This window comes from Homo sapiens, chromosome 10, assembly GCF_000001405.40.
Source record: "Homo sapiens chromosome 10, GRCh38.p14 Primary Assembly".
NCBI lineage: Eukaryota > Metazoa > Chordata > Mammalia > Primates > Hominidae > Homo > Homo sapiens.
The window spans coordinates 98,628,034-98,641,567 of NC_000010.11; the positions used below are offsets into that span (position 1 = coordinate 98,628,034).

Here is a 13,534-nt window from a genome sequence, read left to right on the forward strand (position 1 = left end):
AACTTTGATACAAAAACTAAACCAGTTATATGAAATGTTTTTTGGGGAAATATTTCTAGAAATTATTAATGTTAAAGGTTCTAGGAGTAGTCAGTACAAACCAACAAATATTTTCTGAGTATTTACTGTTTGGGGCACCGTGGGAGGCTTATGAACTCTGTATCTTCCATGAGCAGAGAAGAGCATGATGGTGACATGTAGTGGAGGTACAGACACTGAAGCTGGGTGCTGGTTGGGTCCAGGAAGGAAATCAGCATGGGCAGAAGAGGAGAGAAAAAAATTAGGAGAAACAGATGGAACCAGCTGCAAAATTCCCTTAGAAAGTAAAACTCTAAGAAACTGAGGGCTATAGTTCAACACTGTGGTTTTTTGTAGTAAACATGATTCTCCCTGTGCTAGAAGAGAGAAACTTGGAGTACTTTGGAAAGAAAAAGGGTACAGTTCCTGGTGAGAAATGATGTGCCAATGAAGGTTATTTTAAGGGATACACTGTCTGGGGAGTAAGACGTACAAATGCTGAAATTACTTAAGTGAAGGTAAAGGGAGCTGAGTGGTTGGCTGCCTTTCAGCTGTTCTTCTGTTCCCAAATAGACTTCAATCCTTGGGTGCATGTGGTCAAGGGGGCTTTCAGGTACCCTGAAAATTGCTCAGTAAAGGGCCAGTGGCTGCTCTGAATCCTTGGGCCTGCTAGAGGCAGAGTTGTATAAAGGGAAACCCTTCTAGCTCCATTCCTTCATATTTCAGGGCTGGGGACTATGAGTACTGTTTCATGTGGACATATTGAGGGAGGAATAGGGAGACAGAAAGAGAGGGGAGACTAGAGAAAACAGCCTGGATTTTTTAGTTTATTTTCCCTACCACTTTGAATTAAAAAAAGAAAAAAGAAAAAAAAAACAGTAAAAATAAGAAAATAGCAATTTATGTAGCACATTTTCAAATTTGGGCTTCCTTTTCCTGTGTTTCCTTGATATCCTGCCTCTAAAACTGTGATCTAAGTCCTTTAAAAAGACTCTTGAGAGCCTGGCTTCAGCCACTGGCTGTGTAAGAAATGGTAGCCTTGTAGCAGCAGACATGTTGTTTATGGTTATCCAAACCCAACACCTTCCTTAATGAGAAAGGAAGCAATAAAACAGGAATAGCGGACAGGCCAGCTGGGCTAATCAGCCCTGGCAGGAGGCCCACCCTCCAAATGAAGCTGGAGCCCATTAATTCTAGCATCTCATCTAGTTGGAAATCAACCTTCCCCAGAATTTCACGAAGAACAGTAGCTCTTTAAGTAACCCAAACTGGTCCTCTACAGAGTTGGTTACAAAGAGCTGAATAGCTACAGGAAGCTTCTTAAACCTTACCTACACACAGAGCTCTTCTTAGGGACATCCTTGCCTCTTGTCAGTCTTTGTTCCTTATTGTATTTATAAGTGGTCAAGGCGAGAGCTCTGTGCCCTTCCCATGTTTCTTTCCATCCTTCTTTTGTGTTTTTTGACTCTCCACTTACTTGCTACATTAGAGCAGAGGATATTGACTCTGTCCTCTTCTTCCTCACTGCCCCTCCCTGAGTTCTGGATCTTGTCATTTGTTCCTTGGTCTTACTGCCTCTAATCTTTTCCTCTTCTAGTCCATCCTTCACACTGCTGCTATTTGTTAACTTGACAAATCCCTCTTCAGCTTAAGAACCTTCAGTGGTTCCCTACTGCCAGCAGTGGTACTCAATTATTTGTGCTCAGAGAGGTCTGTTTGATCAGCTGGGAGATGTGCTACAAGCAACTTGTTTCAGATACTATTGAAAACAGTGATTTGGGAATAATTTAGTTCAAAACAAAAAGAGTGGATTCAAAGTTGTCATAACAATATTTCGCCAAAATTCTGAAATGTTTCCTTAACTGGGGAAAAAAAGCTAAGGAGCTAGTAATTGCATATAACCCATAGTCTATTTTATCTATTTGTCCATGGGAGTATTTTAGACACGATAAAATAAAGTTGAGAACCACCGAACCACAGGATAAGATGCTAACTGCTTTATTTAACTTGTTATCTTAGACTTTCACAACCATCCCTTAGCTACCTCTTCCCCCATTGCTCCCCTGTGGGAGGAAGACCTATGGTTCACTACAAAGAAAGGACTCCTACTTTTCAACTACACGAAGCAATCGTTTTTTTTTTTGTTTTTTTTTTTTTTGTTTTTGAGACAGAGTCTCGCTCTGTCACCCAGGCTGGAGTGCAGTGGCGCCATCTTGGCTCACTGCAAGCTCCGCCTCCCAGGTTCACGCCATTCTTCTGCCTCAGCCTCCCCAGTAGCTGGGACTACAGGCGCCCGCCACCACGCCCAACTAATTTTTTGTATTTTTAGTAGAGACGGTGTTTCACCATGTTAGCCAAGATGGTCTCGATCTCCTGACCTCATGATCCGCCCGCCTTGGCCTCCCAAAGTGCTGGGATTACAGGCGTGAGCCACCACGCCCGGCCGTAATAGTTTTTTTACCGATTACCTTTCCCCTGCTCACTTCTCATCCACATTGTTTTGATTTTTTTTTTCAAGCCTATTTCAAATGTTATTTCCTCTGTGAAACTTTCCTCAAAACTTCAGAAAGTTAATTCTTTTATCCTCTGGGTTCCAAAGTTCTTTGGACCTACCTCTGACCTTGACCTTATTATACTGAATTGTAATTTTCTATTTTTTTTCCTTTTTGCATGCCCTATAGAATGCTTGACAATTACTTTGCTTATAAAATACTTATAAATAAATGAGAGAGATAATATTTTACTGATGAGAAAGCTAAGTTTCAGAGAAGATAACTAATAATCTCAGTATCACAAGGGCAAAAACCAAATCCTCACAGTTCCAGTTTAGGGCTCTGTTCACTTTCTAATTCAATTTCCTGTTTGAGGAGACCCACAACTTCTGGTTGGCTAAACTGCCTCCATATTTAACATGTCCTTCTTAGGTTAGACAAGCTGGGCTATTCTGAGCTCAGTCATTCCAGTATCTCATCACATTCCTCTTGATGCATTTCTTCTGTCTAATGTACTTCCTGTCAGTTTCATTAATCTTTTTCTGTATAATTTCTTTTTATCATTGTGTTCTGGAGTGCCATCTTTGCCCATTTTCTTTTGGTATCAGATCAATTTTTAATTTGCGGCTTCTGTTTCTGTGACATTTTTAGGATTTAAAATTCCATTCTCTGCACTTGTTATCTCAAACCACAGAAAAGCAGTTGAATGTAATTGCAACAAAACATAAAATTAAAATAAGGACATACACAAAAAAGATAAAGTCACTGGGGAGGCAAGGACATTATGATCATATGCAAGAAAATGGGAAAGAAAAGTTTCACAGAGCCCAAAGCAATGACTACGTTCAAGGATAAGTGCTAGTGAGAGAGAGATTGGAAAGTAGCCACTTGCACATAAATTACTCTTCGTCTCTTTCCCAGTCCTTTTCTGTGACTAACCAACCCCTACCTACTTACAAGTCATAGGTTCCAGCAGCCTCACTGTTAATTTTACTCTTGCTTAGGACAAACCCTATAATCCTCCCACTTACATGCTGAAACACTGGATGGTCATCCTAAGTTGCCCCTTCCTCCTGAAGAAGCTTTTTGCCCCAAACAGCAATTTGCTTCCAGGGCCATTCCTCCAAATGTCCATGGGTAGCACATACCTTCTTCACATTGTCATTGCCTTGCATATAGCAGGACCTTACTAAACACTGACCAAGAGCCTGTGCATATGAAACATATGAATGGAATCCAGTAGATCAATGCAAATAACCCTCTAAAAAGTCTTGTCGTCTTCCACTATCACTTGCCTAATATCATGATACTCAACTTCATTCATTCATTCAACCCTTACTTCATTCATCCATTCAGTTCATTCAACCCTCACTTCCAGGACACCCACCCTAGATTATTAACTGACTGTGGGGTCAAATTGATGTTCTTTCACCAAGAACATTCATTCAGTATTCTCCTTTGAAAGCCTTCCTAATCCTGGGTGGTTAGGAATATAAATATTACATGGGTTATAAAATAAATAGTTGATAAGTGTGGGCAATACTGAATAGTGTAATGGATAAGAGTGCTGGTTCTAGAGTCAGATGAGCCTCAGTTTGAACTCCAATTTTACTACTTAAAAAGCTCTGTTGGCTTGAGCAAATCACTGGTTTATTTAATAGATTAATAATATATATTGCACTCAATAAATGGCATTTATAACCCAAAAGGTAATATAATTATTATATTTCTGTAAGTTAATGATGCATTTTTCACAATTCAATGCTTTTGAAATCAGGACATTATTCAAAATCAATATCAAATGAAACTTGCCTACTGTTTACCCTCTCCCTTCCCAGTTGTTATTAAATTAATGGTGAATTCTCTAATATTTGTTCTAAGATTCAAGGAAATATTTGTATCTAAGAATCAAGGAAATTAAGGTTCATGGAATGACAATGACTAAAACTTTGGTGTTCTTTGGTGGTAAACATATCTTTCAGGTTAGACTCCCCAACTATAATATTTTTCATGTCTTGTATATGAAGGCCAAGAGTCAAAGTTTCCCTTAGGTCATATTCTCCCATTTGCAGATGCACAGCCAAGTGGGGTCACAGAGGCTAATTTACCGAGAAGTTCATGGAGCTTAAATTTCCAGCTCCCTGCTTTCACAGGCATCTAACAATATCCTAAGAAGGGCTCTGCTAATGTGTTCATATGGTCAAATATTTACATAATTTGCAGATTTCCTTGTTTTATTTTCCTTATAAAGGTCCCCATTGTATAAATGTCAGGCCCCATAAAACTCAGAACACTCATTGATGTTATCCCGAGGTATTAATGTGGTACAGTTTGTATCTGGGGTCCTGTGCCTTCTGAGTACGGGTGACCCTTAAACGACATGGGTTTGAACTGTGCAAGTTCACTTATACATTAATTTACGTCAGTGGAAGTTACACTGGGTGCACGTGCCTCTCCTTTCTGCCCTTCTACCTCCCCCACCTCTTCTGCCTCTGCCATTCCTGAGACAGCAAGACCAACGCCTCCTCTTTCTCCTCCTCATCCTACTCAATGTGAAGACAAAGAGGACAAAGACCTTTATGATGATGATCTGCTTCCACTTAATAAATAGTAAATATATTTTCTCTTTCTTATGATTTTATTTTCTTTCTTTTTATTCCCTTTTTATTTTTGGAAACAGGGTCTTGTTTTGTTGCCCAGGCTGGAGTGCAGTGGCAGGATCCCAGCTCACTGCAGCCTCAACCTCCCTGGGCTCAAGCAATCCTCCCACCTCAGCCTCCCAAGTAGCTAGTATCACAGGCATGTGATACCATGCCCAGCTAATGTTTGTTTTCTTTTTTTGTGTGTGTGTGTAGATATGGGGTTTTGAAATGTTACCCAGGTTGGCCTCGAACTCCTGGCTCAAATGATTCACCTGCTTTGGACTCCCAAAGTGCTGAGATTACAGGTGTGAGCTGCCACGCCCAGCCCATGATTTTCTTAATAACATTTTCTTTCTTCTAGCTTACTTTATTATAAAAATATAGCAGATGATACAGGTAACAGACAAAATATGTTTATCAGTTAGGCTTATGTTATGTTATCAGTGAGTCTTCTGTTATGTTATCAGTAAGGCTTCTGGTCAACAGCAGGCTATTAGCAGTTAAGTTTTGGGGGAGTCAAAAGCTGTAAATGAATTTTCGACTATGCAAGGGAGTCAGCGCCTCTAACCCTCATGTTATTCAAGGGCCAACTGTATTTCCTTGGCGCGTGTTTCTCTTCCCCTCCATCAAAACCTGCTCTTGGGAAAGGATCTTCTATTTACCTTTAAAGCCTTAGTGTGAATTTAAGCCAGTGTAGTCTACCTCTTCCCAGATTGCTTACATTCTTCATCATCATCCTAATGTAGAATGAAAGATTGTTCACTCAAATGAAATGTCTGAAACAAACAGACTGAAATATTATTCGGGGCCACAAAAAGACTTTTCCATCACTCCTAAATAGATACACTGAAGATACTTTCCTACTATGTCTATACATAGGCATAGCTCATAGGGCTGTCTAAACTGATTTCCATCTATTCAACACTACCACAAAGTTAGCAGCAGATAAGTTTCTTCTGCAGTGTGAACAGCAAAGACAGCACATATAAATGTGAATGAGATAAGACATTACTTCTTTTATACTTCAGGTGCTTTATTCTGCTCATTCACCTGCCCCTCGCTTTGTGCATCCTTCCCTCCAACATGTATTGAGCACCTGCTATGTGATAGGCACTGGGACATTGAAATAAGCAGTCAATATTGCCAAATGAATGAGGGAATTAATGAATTAATCAAACAAATACTGATTTTTGTGGTGATACTACTGTTCTTACCCTAGTAATGTGTTTTCATTTTCCAGTTTTCTCCATTAGAGAAGACTAATATTATCATTGTCCTCATGTTTCCTTTAATTGTGCCTCGAGTTATTCTATGGTGCTCAAGAAGAAGTGGGTTTTTGTTTGTTTGTTTTGCTCTTTTCTTCTTATTTACTAAGAGGATCAAATAAGCAGGTAAACTGGAAAGCTGGTTAAAAGCAAGAATTTCTTTTAAAATCTATTAATTACTTCAAAGAAATTACATGTCCTTCTTCCTTACTTCCATGGTCCTGCAACTACAATATATTGGAAGAAGTGGCATAATGTCACTACATTTATTGAGACTTCAAAAGAGTTGATCTTTATTAAATATAAACAGTCATAAGCAATGATAACAAATGAATAATCATGCTCATATGACGAACCATACAAACCATTCCTTTATCCATACATGTCTACCACGAGTGGTTCTCTGATCATACCCTAAGAAGAACTGTATAAATTAGAGAGTCTAACTTTTAGGTGTTAGCCTCAATGTCACTTTCTCTGAGAGGACTTCCCTGATTTCCTTTCCCTCACAAACTAAGGTGGGTACTTCCCACCATGGACTCCTAGAGCACCCTGTAATAGGAATCATAACATCTTATTACTGTTGCTTGCTTAATTATCAGTTTTCCCCACTGGACCATAAAGTCTATGAAGACAAGCATCACGTCAGTCTTGCTCACCATTTTATTCTCAGGGACCTGGAAAATTCTAAGAATGTTACAAATAGTCAATAAATGAAGGAAGGAAGGGAAGAAAGAAGGAAATGAAGGCAAATAGAATGACTACTATAAAGAAGATAGTAAGAAATGCTGTGAGGTATGGAGAAAAGAGAACTGTTACATACTGTTGGTGGGAATGTAAATTTGGACATCCATTATGGAAAACAGTATGGAAGTTCCTCAAAAAGCTAGAAATATAACTACTGTATGATCCAGTAATCCCAGTACAGGGTATGTATCCACAAGAAAATAAGTATGCCAAAGAGATACCTGCACTCTCATGCTCACTGCAGTACTATTCACAATAGTCAAGTTATGAAATCAACCTGTCTCCATCAACAGATGAACGGAGCCAGGTGTGGTGGCTTAGGTATGTAATCCCTGCACTTTGGGTGGCTGGGGCAGGAGAGTCACTTGAGACCAGAAGTTTGAGGCCACCCTGGTCAACACAGCAAGACCTTGTCTCTACAAAAAAATTAAAAAATTAGCCAGGTGTGGTAGCGTGGGCTTGTAGTTTCAGCTACTTGGGAGGCTGAAGCAGGAGGAGCGCTTGAGCCCAGGAATTTAAGGCTGCAGTGAGCTATAATTGCATTACTGCACTCCAGCCTAGGCAAAAGAACAAGACCCCATCTCATGAAAAAAAAAAAAAAAAGAATGGATAAACTGGCATATATATTTGCGGAATACTATTGAGCCATAAAAAAAGAATGGGATCTTGTCATTTGAGGCAACATGAATGAGCCTGGAGGACATTTGTTTAGGTGAAATAAGTGAGGCATAGAAAGATAAATACCACATATGTTCTTGTTCATATGTGGAAGCTAAGAAATTTGATCGCATAAAAGTAGAGAGTAAAACAGTGGTTACTAAAAGCTAGGAAGGGTGGGGAGTGGAGATAGAAGAGGCTGGTGAACAAATCCAAAATTACAGCCAGATAAAAGGAATACATTCTAGTGTATGATAGCACTGTAGGGTGATTATAATTAACATAATTTATTGTACAATTTCTAATGGCTAGAAGATTTCGAATGTTCCCAACACAAAGAAATGATAAATGTTTGAAGTGATAAATGTGTGAATTATCCTGTTTTTTTTTTTGTTTTTTTTTTGAAACAGAGTCTCGCTCTGTTGCCCAGACTGGAGTGCAATGGCGTGGTCTTGGCTCACTGCAACCTCCGCCTCCTGGGTTCAAGTGATTCTCCTGCCTCAGCCACCTGAGTAGCTGGGATTACATGTGCCTGCCACCATGCCCGGCTGATTTTTGTATTTTTAGTAGAGACGGGGTTTCACCATGTTGGCCAGGCTGGTCTCAAACTCCTGACCTCAGGTGATCTGCCTGCCTCAGCCTCCCAAAGTGCTGGGATTACAGGCATGAGCCACTGTGCCCAGCCAAGTTATCCTAGTTTGATCATTACACATTGTATACACGTATTGCAATATCATTCTGTACCCCATAAGTATGTACAATTATTATATGTCAATTAAAAATAATTTTAGGAAAAAGGAAGGAAGAAAGGAAGAAATTTTTCAAATATTGGGGAAGCCAATTGTTGAGTTTAGTTAGTATTCAAAATGCAATAATATGGACAGTACTTTTGGAAACACTTCCTTTATGACTGGGATTTCACCAACTCCTTTCTGTGCTTATTGAATTACTGAAAATAATATCAAAAAGTGTTATTTCCTCTTCTGATTCCTCTAGGAGATGAAGACACAAATCACAGAGTCCAAATGACTTCAGCCAAAGTGGTTCTTCTGGGTTCTTAAGTCATTGTTTTGGAGTCAGCCCAGCTATCCAGACTATACCATCTGCACTGTGTCCTGAACTTTCTCAATTTCCCATCTGACTCTTCCCTGTATTTTTAGATTATCAACTCTTTCCTTTGACTCATCTCCCAATGTACACATGATCATCATCATTCTAATGAAAGGGAAAGAGTGTGTGGATCATCCAAAGGGGTGAGTTGTCCACACACTGCTCAAACATGTCTCTATTTGGCTTTCAAATGCATCATGTAGATTTTCATATAACCAGATAATTCACCCACTGCTCAGAAAACTGAGAATTCTTCTCTAAGTGGCAATCCAAATTTGCAAACCACAGCTGTTTTTAGCAATTGAGTCATTGTCTTTCAGGTGCCAAAAATATCACCTATCATATTCCCCAGAGTTCAAAAAAAAGAGGAAAGAGGAGAAAAAGCAAAGAACAAGTTGAGGATAAAGGTAATGTAAAGCTTCTCTAGTCACAGAAATTATTAAAAATAGCTATAATAACTATAACAACAATAATAATAGCAATAAGAACTAGCATTCAATAACAATGAACAAAACAGGGCTTTCTCACATGACTTTCCTAATCTACCTAAGAGGGAGGGAGAATAGTATCCTTAGCATCTTCATTTTACAAACAAAGAGACAACATCAGAGAAATCAAGTAAGTGACTGGCCCAAAGCCACACAGCTATACTTAAGCCAGGCCATCAGACTTCAAATCCTGGGCCCAATACCCTATTCAAACAGCCTTACCAGTGATTTATCAAGCCACTCCCACATGGCGTCATTTTGGTGAAAAATCTGCCCCTTTTCTACCACTGTGGGCCTAATGGGGTCCTTAGGACTTCACTTCTACAAAGAGAGAAGAAACAAAGTACATTTCTAGCTTTGGGGTGAAGGTTCTAGGTATATAGACAGTAAAACCTTACTTGGAAGGCCAGGCACGGTGGCTCACACTTATAATCCCAGCACTTTGGGAGGCCAAGGCGGGTGGATTGCCTGAGCTCAAGAGTTCAAGACAAGCCTGGACAACATGGTGAAACCCTTGTCTCTGCCAAAAATACAAAAATCAGCCAGTTGTGGTGGCATGAGCCTGTAGTCCCAGCTACCCGGGAAGCTGAGGTGGAAGGATTGCTTGAGCCTGGGAGGCTGAGGTTCAGTGAGCTGAGATCCTGCCACTGCACTCCAACCTGGGTGACAAAGTGAGACCCATCTCAAAAAAAAAAAAAAAAAAAAAAAAAAGGCTGGGTGCAGTGGCTCACGCCTGTAATCCCAGCACTTTGGGAGGCTGAGGCGGGCAGATGACGAGGTCAGGAGATTAAGACCATCCTGGCTAACACGGTGAAACCCCATCTCTACTAAAAATACAAAAAATCAGCCGGGAGTGGTGGCGGGCGCCTGTAGTCCCAGCTACTCGGGAGGCTGCGGCAGGAGAAAGGTGTGAACCCGGGAGGCGGAGCTTGCAGTGAGCTGAGATTGCGCCACTGCACTCCAACCTGGGTGACAGAGCGAGACTCTGTCACAAAAAATTAAAAATTAAAAAAACATAAAACCTAACTTGGCCCATCTCTGAAATGGTTTGAGGAACTTGCAAGAAAGCCATTTGGCTAGTGGGCCCTAGTTTGCACTTTGGACCCTAATTCCCAAGAACCCTCCTCCCCACCCACCAGGGACTTCAGGAACAGTCAAAGCAACATTTCAACAATCAAAGTTTGGGGATCCTTGTCTAGTCTCCTAGCTCTCATGTCCCCAGGGAAGTCCAGTGCTTAGCACACCTTGGGTTGTGGTGAGAGAGACTCTCCTCTTGGAGGCCCTAACGACTGGGTCCAGACTGCTTTAGCCAATGAGAAGTCTATCCAGTGGTTCAAATCTCAGGGAATCTGTTATCCAGCAACACCTCTAGCGTATACTCACTTAAGGTAATATCTGGCAAGAGCTTTGTAAAAGAGAATCAGGGGAAAAAAACAGGGAAATGACTTAAAGCCTACTAAATGAAACAGGGAGGATGAAACTGTGGAAGATCATATTTTCCAAAAATGACTGCAAAAACATTTCTGGTCTTACATGCTTTTCCAGAATCTTGCCACTCCCGCATTGAAAGGAGGAGTTTATTTCTTTTCGCCCTGAAGCTTGGTGGGTCTTGGCGACTACTTCAATGAACAGGATATGGCTAATGTGATGCCATGTGACTTCTGAGGGTAGGTTAGGAAAAGTGATACAGCATCACGTGTCAGAGACGGGAGTGAACAAGCCTTCTGATGGTCCCAGATACTAACCTTTCAGTAATCCCTGCCTTTAGGTCTTTTAGCTCAAGCTTCAGATATCATGGAGCAGAGACAAACCATTCCCTCTGTACCCTTTGAGAATTCCTGACCCATACAATGCATTGGCTTAATAAATGGCTGTTTTATGCTACTAAGTTTTGGGGTAATTTGTTGCACAGCAAGAGATAATCAGAATAGGAGCCCTGGCTTGAGGGGACCCTGGGCATGTTCTGTTTGCAATTGCCAAAAGGTAAGTTCAGACCCTGCTGCTAAGCCTAGCCCTCCCTGCCAGTTGCTTTCTGCATATAGGTCATCTCTCAGGGGCTCTACTGTTCCTCCCAGTGACAGCACTTCCCCTTCCCCTTCTAAGTCCATTAGGTTTGTTTTTAAAGATCTGAATACCAATTGCACGCAGAGTTTTAGCTCTTTTCCTTAAGTTTCTTGGGCCCTGGATAAATCAGGAAGTAAGTTATTTCAGTTTTCAAACTGGTTTATATGGTTAAGGCATATGCAGTGCGGGACGGTAATGGGAAGTGGGGATAAAGGAAAGAACCTAACTTCCAACACCTTTGTCTTAGTTCTAACCTACAGCCACTTGCTATACTTAAATAATAACATGAGCACAGTTAGAACCTTCACTCTCAGTGCCTTGATAGAACTGAATCATTTTACTTCCAACAACAGCCCTTTGATCAAACTCAAGACTGGAAAAGCCAAAACTATAGGAACTTGACTATCTTGTACACTATTGTAATATAAACACTTAGAACAGTTTCTAAATATACTAAGCACTCAATAAATATTTATTGAATGAAGCAATAAACAAATGAATTAATGACAGAAAATTCTTCCCTCCTTCTAGAGGGCAATATGTAATATCAGATTAGCATAATGTGCTTAGAAAGCTAGAGTATTCAATAGGTTAACATTCTATTACATTAGGTAATATGTTTTCAATCTGCTGAAAGTAAGTGTTAAAACTTACTTTACCTTGAGGGCAGAGACCATGTCTTATACCACTTTGTATCCCCAGCATCTGACACTTTGCCTTAGGTACTTGCTAAATGCTCAGTGAATATTTTTCACCAAATGAATATCAAACAGGGACTGGTAGAAATATTTCAAATCATTTAGTTCTCCTAGGCTTTGCCTAGTGGAAGGCAGTGACAGATAAGGGTGCTGGCCAATGCACCTGATCCCTGGAGGGATCAGATTGGGATGTAGTAGTTCAGAAGCTCTGAGGCTTCTCAGCCTATCAAACTCTTGAGAACAAGAGAATTCCAGAGGCTGTTTATAATCTGAGTATGACATTGGGATGAATACAAAAAAGGTCAAGACCTCCACTTTAGCTCTCAAAATTGATGTTCTATGATTTATTCAAATAGGATTTCCTTTCAGAGCTATAAATGAGCTATTCATTTGTCTATTTATTAATTCATCTCATATTTATTGAGGGCCTACCTGTTATAATTTTTCTGCAAAGATTTGTTTAATCCGCTCGAGAAATAGCCAACTATTCAAAGGGTCCCCATTCCCTGGAAAAGAACCTTAACTGGGCAACAAAAGATAATAATATATTTTAGAGGCCCATGGCAATTGTAGATGTAAGATCCTCACAATTTAGAATTAACTAATCCAGTAGTTCAAAATGTGATCCATAATTGGCATTATGGAAAATCACTTGACAGATGATTAAAAATAGAGACCTCTGGGAGCCACTCCAGCCATATTAAATCAGAACAACAGGAGTGAAATTAGAAACTTTAGTGAGCACCACTGGTGATTTTGATAGTACTCAAGTCTGAGAATCACTGACCAAAGGTGTGCTGATAGCACTTACATGCAATTGCTTAATATAATATAGCTTTCCTCTCAATTTTACAAAATTAAGATCTTACTTGGCTAATTCTAAGACACCTAGGAACAGTGTAAATATGGCTCAGAATTGCCAGTGCCCAGACTGGAATTTCACTGAATGAATATAATCATTTTCTCCTTAAAGTAACCTAAAATAAACCCCTCCAAAAAAGAAAATATCAAGTAAATCTATTCTTCCCTTATGAAACTCACAAGAAGCAAACTATAAACAAATACTTCATATTAAAATAGACATGCTTTAGGTCAGGCACAGCGGCTCACACCGGTAATCCCAGCATTTTGAGAGGCTGAGGTGGGTGGATCACTCGAGGTCAGGAATTCAAGACCAGCTTGGCCAGCATGGTGAAACGCCATCTCTGCTAAAAATATAAAAATTGGCTGGGCATGGCAGCTTGTACCTGTAATCTCAGCTACTCGGGAAGCTGAGGCAGGTAAATCGCTTGAACCCAGGAGGCAGAGGTTGCAGTGAGCTGAGATCATGCCACTGCACTCCAGCCTGGGCAA

At 40.2% G+C, this 13,534-nt stretch overlaps 1 protein-coding gene across 13 annotated transcripts in view; it reads right to left on the minus strand.

Annotated features, from left to right (window-relative positions):
• Window positions 1-13,534, minus strand: part of HPSE2 (heparanase 2 (inactive)) — an 858,875-nt gene that overhangs the window by 170,957 nt on the left and 674,384 nt on the right. Inside the window, exon 8 of one of the 13 annotated variants that reach the window (XM_017016496.3) lies at window positions 127-228. The exons of the other annotated variants lie outside the window; for them this stretch is intronic. Coding sequence (XP_016871985.1) covers window positions 127-228 — 102 coding nt within the window. The remainder of the gene's footprint in view (window positions 1-126; window positions 229-13,534) is intronic. 13 annotated transcript variants of the gene reach the window in all.